Here is a 19,353-nt window from a genome sequence, read left to right on the forward strand (position 1 = left end):
ATAGAGCTTAATTTTCTAAAAGCCCTGGCAAATTTACTCACCCAAATGTGCACCACCAGACGATTACTAATATCTTTCTTATTTTGCATGTGTAAACTAAAGTCTACCACTGAACTCCGCCATTTAAATGACGACACGTTGCCCAATAGTGACTAAAAAGTATGGGAGGGAGGGGAGGGTGACACACTACAGAAGTCTTTCATATTCTTTGAAAGGGTGTCACCTGCAGGTGAGTTCCAGGCCAGAATATAAAACAGTCATAGTCCCTCTCCTCCTAGGCCACGTGAAACCTAAGCCAAACAAAAGGGCCATCTTACACATTCTCAACAGTTTCCTCTATGTTCCTCAAGACTCAAGGGTGCTACAGAGTCAAAAGGCAGAACTTCTAATGAACAAGTAATTACTCAGCACTAGAGTGGCAGCTGGACTTCACTTAGCCGAATAGGGATACACTGTGGCTAGGAAGAGGTGAACAATGATGTGCACCTGTAGTCCCATCCACTTAGAGGCCGAGGCAGTTGGATGGCTTGAGCCCAGGAGTTCAAGACTATAGTGTGCTAGGACTACTATAGAGCCACTGCACTCCAGCCTGGGTAACCTAACAAGACCCCATGCCAGCCCCGTCACCAAAAAAAAAAAAAAAAAAAAAAACTGGCTAGCAGCAGCATAACAGGCAAACAGGGGCTACGTGACAAGCCCAAGTGCTGCAAGCACTAACAGGAGGCAAGAAAAAACACTTGAAGATTAAAGCCAACCTCAGACTCAGCCAAGCCCTGCTCAAGCATATTTTTCAAATCCTCATATAAAGTTGATTTTATAGTGGTGGCACTGGTGGCATTAAAAAGCAATGTTAGTATGGGTGCAGTGGCTCACGCCTGTAATCCCACCACTTTAGGAGACTGAGGTGGGAGGATCACTTGAGGCCAGGAGTTCAAGACCACCCTGGGCAACATGGTGAAACCCTATCTCTACAAAAAAATATAAAGATTAGCTGGGCATGGTGGTGCATGCCTGTACTCCCAGCTACTCAGAAGGCTGAGATGTGGAAAGATAGCTTGAGCCCAGGAGGTGGAGGCTGCAGTGAGCTGTGATCATACCAATGCACTCCATCCTGGGTGACAGAGTGAGACTCCTGTCTCAAAAAAATATATTTTTTTAATGTTATGTTTTTTCAAACCACAACTTAAAAAAAAAAAAAAGAAAACCTCAAGAACTCATTTTTCTAATTCCTCCTGAAACAGGAATCAGGCATATGTCCCTGTGTTAAGCTAAATCTTTCCCATTCCTAAAATGTTAATAATTAACTTTCCAAACTTCATTGTATGTGAAAAAATGATTCATTCTTCAGGGAAGTGAATCACCATTACAGAGACCATTAAGACAACAGAAGGCTTGCTGTCTCCAAAGTGCACACCAATAATTAAGTAAGAGCCCCCAAATCGATAACAATTTCACACTGGAGGGGGACTTAATCTGACCTGACCACGATATCAAATTTATAGTGGATATTCATATGTTTTAAGATACTTACATGAAACTCAGTCAGAGGTCAATTCTTTTCTCATGGGCTCAATGTGGATTGTCTTAAATTTCAACTCTTTCAGGCAACAACATCCTAATGACACTTCTAACCAGTGGTAAAGCCTTATTAAAAAATATGAGGATTAAGAATGCCACAATCTCTACCAGGCAAACTTTTCACATAAAATTCTTATCAAATATTGAACTTTTACTTATTGTTCAAACTACAATGGACCCTTGATACAACAAATGTAAAAAGGTTTATCACTTTTCACCGTGTAAAGAAAATAAATGTCTTGTTACAAATCTGGTTACTAGGTTACCCTAATATTAACAATTTCAAAGCAGATTTGCCTTATAGATCAAAGGACTGATTTGTTGGGAGATAGCAATTCTGTGTTTTAAGACATACAGTTTATGAGTCTTTCACTTTTTTTAAAGACATTTTAATAAAAACCCTATGCTTAATTTATCTCTGTATTGCTCACAGCAACCAGTACAGTGCCTTGCACATCCTAGGAATGCAATAAAATAGTTGCTGAACATAGTTCCTGACAACCAATATTAAAGGCTTCCCAAAGCAAGTACCAGGAAAACAAAAGAACAAGCAAACATGACCTACAGCCATAAGTTTTGAAGAAGAAAAAAAAGAACATGCAAACATATTCTAGTATGCTTTTATTCTATGATTCACAAGCCAAATCTGAACAGGGTTTCCAGGAACTTGCTTCTTCTAAAAAATGTGCACATCTACAGTACTTTAAATTTCCATCCTGTTTATAGAAAATACAAGTAAAGCTAATGCTATTTTTACACTTAGTTCCTTATTTCCCAGAAATTTGTTACAAGTAACATCACCCCACCATCATGTGTAAGTAGTAGGCAATGAAAAAATATACATAGTGTCTGCCTTAAACCTGAAAGCAGTGACTTTCAAAGCCCAAATACAAATTATCTGATCATTAAACTAATTAAATTGCTAACAAAGCCAAACAGGAATAAAATAAGAATATATCTGAGAAAGAAAAAAAAAAAAGTGCTGACTGGAAACAGGGACAAAGGAGTTCTTGTCCCTGCTTGGCTATTAATTTACTATATGACCTTACCTAATTATTTAGCCTCTCTGGGTCCCAACTTCCTTGTTTTAATATTATCTTTGAGGTCCCTTCAAGCGACATGCTAAGATTCAGCATATGTAGCAGTGTCTAGAAAACTGATTTACATTCATTACCCCCCTCCCCACCGCACCCCTGGCAAAAGGGCACAGTTCACTTGATAGTTTTAAATATCTGAGTTTGGATTTCTATCAAAGGCAATTTATTAAAATGTCAGATGGGCTTAAGTCCATTTCAAGTGGAGAACTAAAGCGAGTATTGCTAACAGATTCGCCTAGACAGCAGCTGCTGCTATTGAGAGAATAGACTTTAACAATCTAGATGAAAATTATACCTCTTTACAAATGGAGAAAACTAGTAATGGGGATTTTCATACTCTCAAAAAGGCAGATGCATAGCTTTTCTTCCTTTTTTTTTTTTTCCTTTTCCATATTCATCATATTGAGAGAGAGGAAAACAGAAGGGCTAGCTTGGCTTGGGAGGCAGAGGGGAGAATGGATGTTACCGTACAAAACCAGACAAGACCTTTTCAATTGATGTACTGTACTAGACAGCCCATTCTTCTCACTAATGCTCACAATCCAAGAGAAATGAAAAGATTTCCTGTGGCTGGGATGGGAAGAAGCCTGGACAAGAGAGCAATACCATATGACAGTAACTAGCTTAAAAGTCTAAAGACTTGCTCTCAAGATGGGATTCAGATCATTCTGGAAAGGGCCAATAAAATGAAAATCTGTAGCTGAGACCTGATTAAGCTATGATTTATATCTATTTATAGCTTTAAAAAACTTTTGAAAGTACCTTTTGATACCAGACAGCATTAGCCTGTACAGTACTTTATCATATATTAATACATAGCAAACTTACTCAAATTGAATCCCCAAAACATTCCCATAAAGCATTTTAAAACTCCTTTTTCAGGTGAAGAAACAACGTGAGAAGGATTAGGGGATTTGCCCACAGCAAATGTTTAGCAAGTGCCAAGCCTTGTTTTAAATCCAAGTCTGACTTCAAGTCCTCCAATCTTCACCATTTTAAGATAGTACTTCTGACACTAGTTTTCAGTCCCTACTATTTTGTCTGATTTAACAAATTTTATTTCTCACAAAATTGCTCCCCCACCCCCAACTGTTCCTTCTCTGGCTTCTTAGAGCGTTCTGTGCGTAATTCTCCCAGACATGCACTTATTGGACCTTCTAATTGTTCATTTCCTTATGTCCGGGGCTAGGCTCATTTCTTCAATAGCAGAGATTGTCATCTCTCTAGTTGCAAGTGACACAGGTATCTTCAATCCCTGTGGCCTCCCGGGTTGCAACCACTTCAACTCCTTCTCTTTACCAACATGAATGCTCCACAAAGCAGGTGTTGCAATTGCTTCCAGAGGGTCTGGACCACAATAGGTGATTAATAAGTGCTAGCTGAATGGATGGTGGGTGGGTGAATGATGCAATGCTCATACATATTTTAGAGCACACATCACAATGCACACATTTACATACAGCACTCCATGTGAGTCTAAGACCATGAATTTGGTAGTGATTATTGTTTCTTCTTTTTTTTCTTTTTTTTTTTTTCAGATGGAGTCTCGTTCCCATCACCTAGGTTGGAGTGTAGTGGCACGATCTCGGCTCACTGCAACCTCCACCTCCCAGGTGCAAGCGATTCTCCTTCCTCAGCCTCCCGAGTAGCTGGGATTACAGGCGTGCACCACCACACCTGGCTAATTTTTTTTTGTATTTTTAGTAGAGATAGGGTTTTACCATGTTGGCCAGGCTGGTCTCAAACTCCCGACCTCAGGTGATCCACCTGCCTCGGCCTCCCAAAGTGCTGGGATTACAGGCGTGAGCCAATTGTGCCCGGCCTAAGTTTCCTCTTTCTAAAATGTGGCTTGTCTTTCTCAATTTCAGAAACTTGCCCAAAGCATGTAGCTCTAAGCAGTACCCTGTCAACTTCAAGATAATGGCCCACAAGACTACATTACCCTCCAGCTTGTCTTTTCTTGATAGCTGTTTGAGGACAGCATTGATTAGGCCTATTAGAACATGACTGAAGTGTTGCCCCATTCTGGTTTCCTGTTATGAATCTGACATTTCTGAAAAGTCACTGGTTACAGACTAGATCAAGGAAGGAGACTACTCAAATAATTAACTGTGACACAGAATATCCAGATAAACACCATGTAAGAATTTACAGATTCTATTTCCCTGTCCACACACAGGAGAGTCCTCAGCTCACTATCTCATTCACAGGTTAATAAGAACAGGTGATGACTCAGAATTCGCTTCTAATCTTAGTTTTCTGAGCCTTTAAGCACACATACATCAGAAAAAAACAGCGTCAGGAGGACTGAACAGAAAGCCAGAAGACAGATTTCCAGTTCCGCCCAAACTGATCCTCTAATGCAGGTACACAGAAGCTGGGGGAAGTCATTTCGGTGTGAAGAGAAAAGCACTCTAAAGTGCTACCCAATGTTTACTAAGCAGAGGACATGCCTACTACACATTCTTCTGCTTTGCCCAGAAATGCAAACTAAAAAGAACCCTTTGTATAGGTAATCAGACCCACAACCACAGTATGATACCCAGACCAATTCTGAAAAGAACAAGCGTCCTTCAAGGGTCAAATAAGCATTAGTAGCTCCATTCTAGCCAACCAAAGAAAGATAAGGCTAACCATTTTAAAGGTGTTTTTTTAACACTGAGCCATTTCCAACAGATTTGCCTGGCTGCTCTGGGGAGTCAGGCCTCCCTCAGCTCAGGTGAAGCCTCTACCCTTTCCCCTCTCTCTAAATTCTTCTCACTTTTTACCGGGAAGAGCAGCACATCTCAATACATGCAACTGTGCAGCAGCGCATCACTCTGTCACACTGAATCAAGGGGAGTGAACTCAAGGCAGTGAGTAGCTCATGTGCACAATGAAAGTTTTAAAAATTATTAGGCAGTCTATCCTTAATCCCAACTGCTGATAAAAGGAGATATATATCAAAGTCTGTTTTCCTAACCTGCGGAGAATTCAAGTGAGCTGTTTCCGCTCCAGGTCGAAGTCTGGTGACACTCATCAACCCTCAGCAGAGAGCATCCAGGGAATTCAGGACCTTGGTTTTATCGCTAAGGGTGTAGCCACTAGTGCTATTAACAGCAGCACTCTGGGTCCTCACAGAGAGGGCCCCCCTCCTTTACCAGGATCTCCCAACTCTGCAGAGAAAAGCTGGGAATAGGGTCCAGGGCTAAGGCTATTCCCCAGATTTAAAGGAAGCTGTACACGATTTTAAAGCCTCACCTTACCTCAGCTAACAGAGAGGCAGGGGGCGGAGGGCGGAGGACCCACCAACCCAGGGGAATTGTAAGGAGACAAAGATGACCCCAAACGCACAAGCGCGCGCGCACTGAAGCCCGGACTGCAAAGCACATTCCATCAACCTTTCACTGTAATCGGCTTACTGTGGGGTTTATCCCCTCACCCCATCCCTCTCCAGAAAGTTTAAGGCTGTTCGCACCGACTTTGAAAGGTCCATTGTTCCCTTCCCCGTAAACGTAATGAAAAGAGAGAGTGGAGAGAAAGAAATCAAGACACCGTTCCCGAGGACCCTTTCTTAAGAAGAGAGGACTGACTCCTGGGGAGTCGGGTCAGTCCCAATCCAGAGATGAAACCGGGAAAGGAGGCGCACGGGGGAAGGGCGGGAGGACGTTTTCCTTTTCGGCAGAAATGCCCAACGCCGGAGCCGGCCAGGCCGCCGGGAGCAGAAAAGGTGGGCGAGACCCGGGTCTGCGTCCCCGCAGTGGCCCCCGAGGGCAGCAAACGAGGTGGAGCGGGGTGGGGGGGCGGGTGACCGAGTCGCTTCTTACCTTCCCCTACCCCGCTTAGCGTCCGTTAACTCAGGTGCCTACACAGCGGTCCAGGGAGACGGAGAGGAGTCCCTGGCGTCCTCGGGTCCAGATCTCCTCTCCATGGCCAGGAAGCCACTCGATTGCCGGCGCCCGCAGCTGCCGCTCGTACTCAACTGGCAGCCGCAGCCTCTGCCTGGAGGTGAAATACTCTCCTCCCGAGAGTGACGCGCACTTCCCTCCGCCTCCGCCTCCTCCTCCTCCTCCTCCTCCTGCCCCGAGCCTCGGGGGCAGGGGCCTCGGCTCGCTCTCTCCCGGAGCCGCCGCTCGGCTTTCTCCGTTCCTTCCCCTCCGGGAGAAAGAGGAGGAGAATCGTGGCCCGGGCGGCGCGGGCCTGAGCGTCCCCGCGACAACAGGGGAGGAGGCGGCGGCGCGGGGCAGAGTGGGGTCCCAGGAGTCGCTCTTGTCCCTGGTCGGCGGGCGCCGCGGCTTGCTAGGGTCGCGCTCAGCCTCCGCCGGCCAGACAAGCAGCCCGGCTCGGCTGGGCCGGGAACTGTGGATTGGGCGGGCGGGCGGGCGGGCGGTGGAGAGCGAGGGAGGCGGAGGGAGAGGAGGAGCCTGCCATCAGAGGAGGCGGTGGCCCCGCCCGGCCCCTCCCGCCGGCCCCGCTCCCCGCGAGCTGCGAAAGCGGAGGCTCAGCGCCACTCGCTGCCGCGCGCTGGAACAGCGCCCGAGCGCACTGCCGGCGGGGCAGAGCCCCAGCCAGCGCCCCCCGCTGCGGCTGCAGGCTCCTACCCTTCCTGGGCGCGCACACCCGCCTGGCCGAACCGGAGCCTGTGCCTCCAGCACCCCCAGATAAGGCTGGTACTGCGCCTGTCACTCCCTGGCTGAGCCTGACACTGCGCCCCCAAAGTCCCCTGGCTGAGCGTGACTGCACCCCATCAACCCTCGGCTGCGTCAGACTTTGAGCCCCATCACCCGTAAAGAGATTTCCACACTCCCACAAATGTTCTGAGCGTCCAGTCACAGCCCCTACCTGGCCAGGCGCGAGCGCCAGGTTCTCAGCGCTGTCAGAAGAACCAGCCTGCTCTGGGACACAGGGCAGCTCTTCTGGTCCCTTGGAGCAACCCCAGCATCCCGCTCGCAGGCCGGAATAAATATACTTAGGTCTTCCCACGCCCCCTACCTGCGCCACTCTGGAGTGGCGGCCGCTTGCAGAGGTGGCGCCGAAAGCCACGCCCCGGCCCACCCCAGTGCCAAAACGCCGCTCTGAGGACACCGGCACCGGCCCTGAAGCAGCCCTGCCGCCGCCACCCTGCCCCCTCGCTGGAGCTGCTCTCACAGCCTTGGCTCTGGGTGAGGGCGCGGCCCGGGCTGGATCACTCAGACGCACGAGGTCCCGAGCTAGTGACAGCTGCAGGACTGCCAAATCCGGGCCGTCGTCATCCTCGATTTAATTGGAATTGGAAGTTTTCCCTCCAGGAAACTCTTTCAGTGAATAATATACAAGGTAGGATAGTTTAGTTTTCAGGGTTGTTCATTCCTCCTCCCTCAACAAACTCAGTCCTGTAACCGCGACACACCCGGCAGTGAAGGGGAATCCCCTATTTCAAGGGTATTAGTTCAGGACTTTGTATAAGAAATTACTGTTTCCAAATCTTGGCTGATGATAAGAATCCCCTGGGGCACTTAGAAAAAATTGGATTGCCAGACGTCGCGCAATCTACTGAATCAGAGGTATCGGGAATATGTAAGTTTGGGAAACAGGGCTAGAATGCATCCTCTAATTAATTAAAGCCTTGGAAAGATGCCTCCAAAACAGCAGCGCGAGCTAGTGCTGAGATCTTACAGAAACTTCACCCAGCTGCCTTTGAGAGCCGCTGTCCCTTCTGGGATAGGCAGGGAGGAAAGGTTTTTAAAATAAGGAACATAGTTTTGAATAACAAGATGGAAGGGACAAAAGACTGTTTTCATGGTCCAAAGGTGTTTTGGATTGTGCTTAATAAAGATAGAAACTGTGTCACCCGTGTGCTAGGCTGAAAAATGTTCCCTCCCCAGAGATAACAGGTTCTAAGTCCTGGAACTTGTGCATATTACCTTACATAGACAGAAGCAGGGCCTTCGCATATGTGATTCAATTAAGGGTCTTCTTGAGTTGGGGAGATTATTCTGGATGATCAAGATGGGTCCTAACTGCAGTCACATGTACTTTTATAAGGGGAAAGGGGGTGGTTAGCACACACAGAGGAGGGCTGGCCACTGTGGAGGCAGAGATTGAAGCGATGCCTCCACAAGGCAAGGAATGCCAGCACAGAGGCAAGGATTCTCCCCTAGAAACTCTGAAGTGAGCAAGATCCTGCTGACACCTTGATTTTGGCCCAGTGAAACTGAGCGCAGTCTCCTGCTTCCAGAAGTGTGAAAGAATAAACTTCAGTTGTAAGCTACACTGAGTTTGGGTGATATGTTGCAGCATAGGAGGCCTGTGCTGGGCCAACTTTATATTACAAATATCCATTTTTTGAATCCTTATTAAGTGCCAGGCACTTTGCTTGGAGTTAGGATATGTTATGGGATATGTTGTCTAATTAAATCCTCCCACTAATTATTATTTCCGTTTTAAAGATGGGACAGTAGGACTTGAAAATTTAAAGGGTCTTCCCAAGGCCACACAGTAAGAACCTCTTGGAATCAAGTCTGCAAACCACTCAAATGTTAAAAATAGCAATTAGGCCAGGCGCGGTGGCTCACGCCTGTAATCCCAGCACTTTGGGAGGCTAAGGAAGGTGGATCACAAGATCAGAAGATAGAGACCATCCTGGCTAACATGGTGAAACCCCATCTCTACTAAAAAAAAACACACAAAAAATTAGCCAGGTGTGGTGGCAGGCGCCTGTAGTCCCAGCTACTCGGGAGGCTGAGGCAGGAGAATGCCGTAAACCCGGGAGGTGGAGCTTGCAGTGAGCCAAGATCGAGCCACTGCACTCCAGCCTGGGCTACAGAGCGAGACTTCATCTCAAAAAAACAAAACAAAACAAAACAAGCAATTAAAAATTTATATACATTAGTCTAATAAAATTTTTGGTTTTAAAAAGGACTTATTTATTTCCACAATCTGTATTTATTGCCCAAACCAAGGGAAATGGATGTTGATTGATAGTGGAGTGGGCTAGTGGGGAACAGGGGTGTAGGAGACCTCTTTACACTTGCGCTCAATTTTGTTGTGAACCTAAAATTGCTCTAAAATATAGTCTGTTAACTAAAAAAAAAAGGGTAGGGGGATTGAATCTGTGTGTGGCCTATCTTTGAGAATTGTATAAACTTTTGTTTTTAGATATTTATCTGGAACATAAAAAATCAAAGGAAAGGCCGGGCACGGTGGCTTAAGCCTGTAATCCCAGCACTTTGGGAGGCCAAGGCAGGCGGATCACCTGAGGTCAGGAGTTCAAGACCAGCCTGGCCAGCATGGTGAAACCCCACCTCTACTAAAAATACAAAAATTAGCCGGGCATGGTGGCACGCACCTGTAGTCCCAGCTACTCGGGAGGCTGAGGCGGGAGAATTGCTTGAACCTGGGAGGCAGACGTTGAAGTGAGCCAAGACCTCATCATTGCACTCCAGACTGGGCAAAAGAGGGAGACTCCGTCTCAAAAAAAAAAAAAATCAAAGGAAACTGATGTGAAAGGAAGCTATGAAGGAAACCAACAAAGTAAGAGGACACAGACTTCTCTGATCAATGGGACTGATGTCACAGATTGAGTTCTCAGGGAAGCAGGCTCTGAGACACTGACAAGATGTTTCACCTGTGGGGGACAGGCAGGAAGCAGCATGGGCAAAGGGAGTAGCTGGGGTGTACCCAATGGCCTTCATTGATCCCACTGGGGGATCTGAGAGATGGCCCATTGGAATTATTGAGCCTAAATGACTGGACCATTAGATACCCTCCTGAATCAGTCATTGGATGTCGTTCATCCTGGGACGTGACATGACCTTGGTCAAGGCGACCCTGCAGCTGAGGCAGTCTCCAAAAGGGCCAGTTGCTGACAGCACCCAGAGCTCGGCAGCAAGTCCTTCTTTGCAAGCAAATCTGGGCAGTGCATCTCCATGTCACTCACTGATATGGTGTGGATCTGTGTCCCCACCCAAATTTCATGCTGAATTGTAATCCCCAGCATTGGAGGTGAGGTCTGATGGGAGGTGACTGGATCATGAGGGCAGATTACTCATGAATGGTTTAGTACCATCCTCTTGGTACTGTCCATGGGATAGTGAGTGAGTTCTTGAGAGTTCTGATCGTTTAAATGTGTGTGGCACCTCCTCCCTCGCTATCTTGCTCCTGCTCTGGCCATGTAACGTGCCTGCTCCCACTTTGCCCCCACCCTCCCTCCCCTGCATGATTTTAAGTTTCCTGAGGCCTCCTTAGAAGCTGAGCAGATGCCAGAATCATGCTTTCTGTACAGCCTGCAGAATCGAGGTCAATTAAACCTCTTTTGTCAATGCAAGAACAGACTAACACACCCACTTACATGTATGTGACATCCTCACCATTGTGCTATTTCTTCCAAATAAGGAGAGAACGCCCCACAGTGAGTGGGATGCCCACATTTTGCATTTTTTTCCTGGTTGTAACTGTGCATTCACACAGGGTAATACACTGGCTAAGACCTGAGACTCTTTAGTCAGATCACGTGCTGTAGCTCACTAGCACAACCAGATGCTCAGCCTCTCTGAGGCGCCTCCATTTTTCATTTTAAAAGGGAATAATAGTAGTACCTAGACCATGCAGTTATTATAAGAATTAAGTATGGCAATGCTGTAAGGGGCTTCACTGCACTTCTCATTAATGCTCAGCACATTCTGTTATTGGTGCCTCCTGTCATCTCTCCTTTACCCTCCATGATTGGCTAAATTGTAAATCTGGGGGGACAAGGGGAGATAGCGTGTCACTATGTTGCCCAGGGTGGGCTCAAACTCTTCAGTTCAAGTGATACTCCCGCCTCAGCCTCCTAAGTAGCAAGGATAAATTGGAATGTTATATTAGGTTACACTTGCGAAGACTTTGAGGTGGAGATAGGAAATGGAGTGCTCTTGGGGTCCAGGTCATAGGTGAAGGCCATGAGATAAATACAATAAGCACTACCTAAAGGAAGCTGGAACTTTCTTTTTAATGATGAGAAACAGCAGCCACACTCCAGACAAATGCCAGGCCTCTCCTTCCTGTACCCTGATGGCCCTAACCCCTCACCACACATGTCGTTGCATCTCCGAAGGACTATATTAAATGTCTGTGGATGCTTAAACAACACGAGGGTTAAGGGCACTGACCCCCACATCTATCCATGGAAGCTGGCTGGGTATGGGAGGGTCAATGTCCCTAACGTGTATATATGTATATATATTTATATATACATGCACACACACATACACACACACACACATTCACCTTCTCTGTGAAACATTCCAAGGCCAGTCATCATGGCCTCCCCTTGGCTCCGATGGCTCCATACGCACACCTGCCGCAACCCTGACCACACCGCATTGCAGTTATTTAGCGGGTTTTATTCACAGCCCTTCCCATCCTGCCTACTTCCCTACAGCTGGTAGACTGGGCACCTGAAGATTTAGAGATTGAAGATACAGCCTTATTCAACTTCAAATCCTCAGGGCCTAGCACAGTGTTTGATGAGTGATACTGCCCCCTGAGTGGGCAACAAAGGAGTCAGCAGAGGCTTTAGGAGAGAGGAGGGGACCAAACACCGTGATATGGAAAGAGTCTGTGCACCTCTGTGTTCTGCAGCTCCAGGTTTCTGCTTGTTTTGCACTCTCCTGCTCCAAACTAAGACAGAACCTCACTTCACCATCACCCACTCTTCCCCTTTCTGTTTTCCCCCAGGCTGTTAGAAATTAATTCCTTCAAACTGTGCTTTATTCTATAAGGGTCTGAATAGATAGCGTTTTGTATTGTCTTGTTTTGTTTTGTTTTTGAGACAGGGTCTTGCTCTGTCACCCAGGCTGGAGTGCAGTGGCACAATCACAGCTCACTGCAGCTTCAGTCTCCCAGGCTCAAGTGATCCTCCCACCTCAGCCTCCCTAGTAGCTGGGACTACAGCTTGATCCTCCTACCGCAGCCTCCCGAGTAGCTGGGGCTACAAGTGTGCACCACCACACCTGGCTAATTTTATTTATTTATTTTTTTTTGAGACGGAGTTTCGCTCTTGTTGCCCAGGCTGGAGTTCAATGGCATGCTCTCAGCTCACTGCAACCTCTGCCTCCTGGGTTCAAGTGATTCTCATGCCTCAGCCTCCCGAGTAGCTGGGATTACAGGTGCCTGCCACCATGCCCAGCTAATTTTTTGTATTTTTAGTAGAGACGGGGTTTCACCATGTTAGCCAGGCTGGTTTCAAACTCCTAACCTCAGGTGATCCACCACCTCAGCCTCCCAAAGTGCTGGGATTACAGCCATGAGCCACCACACCCAGCCAATGTTTGTATTTTTTGTAGAGACGGGTTTTCACCGTGTTGCCCAGGCTGGTCTCCAATGCCTGATCTCAAGCGATCCACCTGCCTCGGCCTCTCAAAGGATTAGGGTTACAGGGGTGAGCCACCACACCCTGCCTAGGTCATCTTTAAATCATGTTTTTCTGTTCATATTTGCTCCTTTTGCACTCAGTGTACATGTGTAGACTGATGTGCAGGTGACTAATGCCTCACTAGTAAGGTGTTGATACACTGTTTGCCATCCACACCTTAATTAAAAGTCTTAGAAAAATTTTCCTCCCATTGACCCCTTGCAATAACATTACAGAATGTTAGTGTGACCTTTCTTTGCTGTGGTAACAGCTGCGTGTCTACAAAACCATCTGTGCTTTCTTTATTTCCTTCCGTCCAACCAGCCTCATTCTCACACTTCATAGGCTCGCAATGAAGGCTGCATGTTTCCTGTCAAACTCTCTGGACACTTGCTTTAAATTATGATGTAAGCAATTCTGTTCCAGTATAGCCAAATTTCTGATGCAGTCTTGTCAGAGAAGGGAAAAACATTTAATTATTTTATTTTAAATTCTATTAAATCGGTGGGAATTAAATTTTTCTTTTTCTCATTCAAAAACATAACTTTCACTTTCTGGAAAAAAGTGATATCCCATCCTGATTCCCATCTAACATCTTCAAAATTGGCATAAATTTCACTGTTGCATAGTAAGTTATATAAACTTGGTATTTTTTTTGGGGGGGGGGCTCTGTAGCCATCTTTATGTAAGTGGTTGTGCTTTGCTGCTGGCACCCAGACCCAAAAACATTCCCCTAATTCTCATGTCACAATTGAGGACACTGTCTCTGAAAAGAGAAATGAGTTGCCTGAAGTCACTTAGCTAGAATGAAGTTGCTTCTGTAATTTATTGTGGATTAAGATTTCCTGTGTTGAGGCCAGGTGCGGTGGCTCATGCCTATAATCCCAGCACTTTGGGATGCCAAGGCCGGTGGATCACCTGAGGTCAGTAGTTCGAGATCAGCCTGGCCAGCATGGTAAAACCCCGTCTCTACTAAAAATACAAAAATTAGCTGGGCATGGTGGCACACGCCTGTAACCCAGCTACTCAGGAGGCTGAGGCAGGAGAATCACTTGAACCTGGGGGGCGGAGGTTGCAGTGAGCCAAAATCAAGCCGTTGCACTTCAGCCTGGGCAACAAGAGTGAAACTCTGTCTCCAAAAAAAAAAAAAAGAAAAAAGATTTTCTGGGTCAAATTTGGTGGTGTGTGCCTGTAGTCCCACATACTCAGGAGGGTGATGTGGGAGAACTGCTTGAGCCCAGAGGTCAAGGCTTCAGTGTGCCGTGATGGTGCCACTGCCCTCCAGCCTGGGTGACAGAGCAAGACTGTCTAAAAAAAAGAAAAAAAAAAGATTTGCTCATAGCATGTCTACAATATATGCAGTATTACCACTAATATCTTATAAATTTGCTGGATGAGGATTACATGATCTGTGTAAACTGAAGAAATACACACAAGAAATGTAGTGTATTTTCATTATATTCACATATGGATATGTACCAGAAGAGTTGATATAGTGAATTTGCATAAGAATTGAGAAACCTGGTTATGAATATAGACTTTAATTTGAAATAATACCAACATCCTGAAATCATGCATTATCTCCAAGGTTTTATCTCTTCCTTCCTGTTCCTTCCAGGCAACCAGCAAAGAAGTATTAACCTGTTCTGCCTAGAAAGACAGGATCCTGTGTAATCTTCAAAGGCACATAATCAGAAAGGAAAAGCAAGATTAGGAGTACCTTACATGCATAAATACATAGCTGTCAAAATTCCCCCAAAGTATATTATATCAAAGCTTTCTAAATTTTCCATAGTTATTATTACAAACTTACTAAAGTACAAGAAAAAATAAATAAATCCCTGCGAAGCCTCTGGGCCACCTGGATGACAAAGGAGCTCTTTAGGAAACTTGAGCTCACCATGGATTTGAAAATACACAATTAACAACATGTCAAAAGTTATCATCAATCCAGCTCAATTACACAAATCTTTTTTTGGACAATTTCTACACTTCTCTCTAAAGAAATGAACATGAGCTGGGCACAGTGGCTCACACCTGTAATCCCAGCACTTTGGGAGGCCAACACAGAAGGATCACTTGAGGCCAGGAGTTGAAGACCAGCCTGGGCAATAAAGCGAGAATCTGACTCTAAAAAATTAGCTAGGTTTGGTGGTGCACACCTGTAGTATAGCTACTTGAGAGGCTGAGCCCAGGAATTCAAAGTTGCAGTGAGCTGTGATAGCACCATGGCACTCCAGCCTGAGCAACAAAGCAAGACCCCATGTCTAAAATTTTTAAAAAGTAAGGGATGAACATGAGACTATTTTGAAAGATAAACAGGATTACTGGATTATGACATATATGATAGATATGTTGATTAATTTGATTGTGGTAATCATTTCAAAATGTATCATATATCAAATCATCACATTGTATCCTTGAATACACAACTTTTGTCAATTATACTTTTGTCAATTATTTTCCAGCTCAATAAAGCTGGAAAAAAATTACTTGAAATAATGTAAACAAACTAACAGAAATCATCAACTACTTTTTGTTTTCAAGAATACAATGGAAAAATGCCATTCATGACAAAAGTAGAAAAATCTGATTTTATAGTCCATTTGGATATAAGAATTTTCTACATGATTAAATTGAGTCATTGTTTTCAGAAAACTATTGTGAAAATACACACGGTGCTTTAAAAAGAAGGGAAGGAATGTCAACCCTTTCCATGATTGTCTTAACACAGGGTCTTTTGTAGATGAGCTGAACACAGCTTAGAAAACTCAGAGCTCAATTATTTATTCTACAGATATTTATTGTTGTCTTATGTAGCAAACACTGATAGATTCTGGAAGCTGAATAAGACAGCAAAGCCCCTACAATTTAGTAGGGGTTTGGACCCCTAATAAAAGGAAACTGACAAATAAACCAATAACGTAATAACACGGCCGGGTGCGGTGGCTCATGCCTATAATCCAAGCACTTTGGAAGGCCGAGGTGGGCAGATCACCTGAGGTCAGGAGTTCGAGACGAGCCTGGCCAACATGGTGAAACCCCGACTCTACTAAAAATAAAAAATTAGCCGGGTGTGGTGGCACGCGCCTGCAGTCCCAGCTACTCGGAAGGTTGAGGCAGGAGAATCGTTTGAACTCAGGAGGCAGAGGTTGCAGTGAGCCAAGGGGAAAAAAATAATAATAACACATGATTATACAGACAGTAATAAGGGAAATAAACAAAATTAGGAGTAATAAGTGGGATAAAAGTTACATCGATGGCCTTCCATAAGCCACATTTCCCAATATTTACATTCTACTAAGGTCCTCTCCTACATTGACTCTGAACTTGGCCATGTGACTTGCTTTGGCCACTGTAACAACAGAAGCGTGATGTAAGCACAGGCTTCAAAAGCACTTGCACACGAGTTGGAGCAGGATTGTGAAAAAGCTTATTTAAGGTGACGTGGTCAGGAAAGACGTGTCCAAGAAAGTGATAGTTAAGCTAACATCTAAAGAATGTTGACCTTGAGGACAGGAATTTAAAAAGTGAGATAAGTTATGATGATGAGAAAAGAGAGACTGGGCAAGGTGCAGGCTCATCCCTCTAATCCTAGCATTCTGGTAGGCAGAGGCGGGCAGATAGCTTGAGCCCAGGAGTTTGAAACCAGCCGGGGCAACATGGTGAGATTTCTACAAAAAATACAAAAAATTGGCCAGGCGTGGGGTTACATGCCTGTAATCCCAGCTACTCAAGAGGCTGAGGTAGGAGGATCACCTGATCCTCAAGAAGTTGAGGCTGCAATGAGGCCATGATCGTACCACCACACTCTAGCCTGGGTGACAGAGCAAGACCCTGTCTAAAGAAAAAAGAAAAGGAAGGATCAGGGCAGGTTAAGGCTTGAGGACCAGAGAATCAAGGCTTGAAACATTGTGGACCCAGCAGATGCCAATGGCAAACTTTTTGCATAATTTCTGCTTGAGCTACCGTTATCCAGATACCACAATAAAACAAAAGAAGTTATAAAGGTCCAATAATTTTCCAGACAGACTCTCCACTTTATACAAAAACATAGAAAAATCACTTAGTTAAAAATCAGCAACAATTTTAAGAGGGCCAGACAGCTTTCATTGTTGTGTCCTTGGAAGTCCTGAGTTGTCATGTTAAAGCCAGCTAACCTGCTGAAGAGACCACATGGAGACAGTGTTGTGCCTTCAGTTTTTACTATACTGAGAGGCCATGTGTGGGAAAAGAAGACCAGAGACACCAGACAGAGAAGAGCCAGCCATCTCAATATCCCAGCTGAGTTTAGCCCCACCTGCCCCACCAATAAATGCAGCCATTTGACCCACCACTGGCAAGAACAGCAGAGGATATGCTCAGCTGAGCCCCGTGCAGATTTCAGAATATAAGCAAATAAAAGAGTGGTTATTTTAAACCACTAAGTTTGGGGTGATTGGTATGCGGCAATAAAAAATCTCGACCCATCTTCTTTTTTTTTTTTTTTTTTTTTTTTTTTTTGAGACAGAGACTCGCTCTGTCACCCAGGCTAGAGTGTAGTGCACGCAATCTCGGCTCACTGAAACTTCTGCCCCCCAGGTTCAAGCGATTCTCGTGCCTCAGCCTCCTAAGTAGCTGGGATTACAGGCACATGCCACCACGCCCAGCTAATTTTTGTATTTTTAGTGGAGACAGGGTTTCACCATGCTGGCCACACTGGTCTCGAACTCCTGACCTCAAATGATTTGCCCACCTCGGCCTCCCAAAGTGCTGGGATTACAGGTGTGAGTCACTGTGCCCGGCCCCAGCCCGTCTTCTTAAATGGAGGTGATTTTGTCCTCCAGAGTATATTTAGCAATGTCTAGAGTCAGTTTTAATTTCACACTCTGGGGGAGGGATGCTGGCATCTAGTGAGTAGAGGCAAAGCATGCTGCTAAACATCCTTCAATGCACAGGATAAAGGACCATCTAGTCCAAAATGTCAAGAACCAAGGTCGAGAGACTCTGACCTAAACAAAGGATTTTGATAGGTGATTGTCAGTCTTCCACAGAGGTTATGCCAATGTGTTTTCCCAAGAGCAATATACGACAGTATCTATTTTCCTTGCCTCACCTGAGTGAATATAATCAGATATATACATCTCTAGAAATAAATATAGACAAATATCTATCTTTGTCATAGGAAAAAGTGATATAAGAACTTCAACATGTGTTTCTCCAGTAATAATTGAGGGAATCTCTTCACATTTACAAGAGTCATTTCTAGTTCCTTATCTATGACCTATCTGTTCATATTCTTTGCTCATTTTTCTGTATAGCTGTTGTTCTTTTTCTCATTGATTTGTAAAAGCTCTATATGTATTAAGAAAATTATCAGTTGGGCATGGTGGCTCACACCTGTAATCCCAGCACTTTGGGAGACCGAGGTGGGTGGATCACTTGAGGTCAGGAGTTCGAGACCAGCCTAGCTAACATGGTGAAACCTCGTCTCTACTAAAAATACAAAAATTAGCCAGGTGTGGTGGTGTGTGCCTGTAATCCCAGCAACTCAGGAGGCTGGGGCAGGAGAATCACTTGAACCCGGGAGGCAGAGGCTGCAGTGAGCCAAGATCGCACCACTGCACTCCAGCCTGGGCAACAGAGCAAGACTCTGTCTCAAAAAAAAAAAAAAAAAAAAAAGAAAGAAAGAAAGAAAGAAAATTATCCCTTTGTTTATGATTTAAGTTGAAACTATGCTTTCCCTGTTTAGCAGACAAATTTAGAGTGGTAAATAGCTAAAAACCAAACTATATCAAGAAAACCACACTTAAGTGAAAAGATACGTTTGTAAGCTGTGACTTGAAGCAGTGAAAGAAACATACAAATGATGTGTCGAGAAAAAATACTAACTAATATTTGCTGCCAATAACTGTACATTGGGATATAAAGAGAGCCAGAACATGTGAGGCGGGAGCTAAATGGACTGGATGCTGCAAACAGGGAACAAGGAAGCCCCATTTAAGGCCAGATATCCAGACTGTGAATCTGAGAGACTGAATTTCAAACTGTAGGTAATTATTTAAAATAGTAGCTGATACATACCACTGGTGAAAGATGAGACTCCAAGTTTGGACTTTAATTTACCTTTTACCTTTTGAACACTTGACTCTTCTCCCTCATTCAGCCCCTTCTAGTATAAAAATGACTTTCAACCAGTGTTCTCAAGCCATGCTGTCTCCGATCCAGTTTCAGCTGTATTACTTACTAGCTGTGTGACCTTGGACAAGTCACTTAACCTCTCTGTGCTTTCATTGTCTTCTCTGTAAAATAAGAATATTCATTACCTACCCCCACAGAGTGGTTACG

At 45.0% G+C, this 19,353-nt stretch overlaps 1 protein-coding gene across 5 annotated transcripts in view, besides 6 other annotated features; it reads right to left on the minus strand.

Annotated features, from left to right (window-relative positions):
• Positions 1-7,591, minus strand: part of CEMIP2 (cell migration inducing hyaluronidase 2) — an 86,101-nt gene extending 78,510 nt beyond the window's left edge. For 3 of the 5 annotated variants that reach the window (NM_001135820.2, NM_001349784.2, NM_013390.3), the window contains exon 1: positions 6,482-6,638. The gene's annotated coding sequence lies outside the window, so the exon portion shown is untranslated. Of the gene's footprint in view, positions 1-6,481; positions 6,639-7,496 lie in introns of those variants that run through there. The other 2 variants (XM_047423136.1, XM_005251869.5) reach the window with 1 other exon arrangement.
• Positions 1,227-1,371: an enhancer, noted in NCBI's record as "145 bp enhancer 224 fragment used in the MPRA reporter construct; PK_construct_602". NCBI's record gives its function as "activates an SV40 promoter by MPRA in HepG2 cells {active_cell/tissue: HepG2}" and the evidence as "EXISTENCE:reporter gene assay evidence [ECO:0000049][PMID:23512712]".
• Positions 1,292-1,305: a transcriptional cis regulatory region, noted in NCBI's record as "HNF1 motif; enhancer activity is reduced when this motif is scrambled". NCBI's record gives its function as "necessary for full MPRA enhancer 224 activity {active_cell/tissue: HepG2}" and the evidence as "EXISTENCE:site-directed mutagenesis evidence [ECO:0005528][PMID:23512712]".
• Positions 6,296-6,977: an enhancer, noted in NCBI's record as "H3K27ac hESC enhancer chr9:74383087-74383768 (GRCh37/hg19 assembly coordinates)". NCBI's record gives its function as "activates a minimal SCP1, AML or CMV promoter by ChIP-STARR-seq in primed H9 embryonic stem cells {active_cell/tissue: H9 hESC(primed)}" and the evidence as "EXISTENCE:reporter gene assay evidence [ECO:0000049][PMID:30033119]".
• Positions 6,296-7,659: a biological region, named in NCBI's record as "hESC enhancers GRCh37_chr9:74383087-74383768 and GRCh37_chr9:74383769-74384450".
• Positions 6,733-7,402: a silencer, noted in NCBI's record as "silent region_19944". NCBI's record gives its function as "represses an Ori minimal core promoter by ATAC-STARR-seq in GM12878 lymphoblastoid cells {active_cell/tissue: GM12878}" and the evidence as "EXISTENCE:reporter gene assay evidence [ECO:0000049][PMID:35858748]".
• Positions 6,978-7,659: an enhancer, noted in NCBI's record as "H3K27ac-H3K4me1 hESC enhancer chr9:74383769-74384450 (GRCh37/hg19 assembly coordinates)". NCBI's record gives its function as "activates a minimal SCP1, AML or CMV promoter by ChIP-STARR-seq in naive and primed H9 embryonic stem cells {active_cell/tissue: H9 hESC(naive and primed)}" and the evidence as "EXISTENCE:reporter gene assay evidence [ECO:0000049][PMID:30033119]".

The sequence above is a fragment of the Homo sapiens genome, chromosome 9, assembly GCF_000001405.40.
Source record: "Homo sapiens chromosome 9, GRCh38.p14 Primary Assembly".
Taxonomy (NCBI): Eukaryota; Metazoa; Chordata; class Mammalia; order Primates; family Hominidae; genus Homo; species Homo sapiens.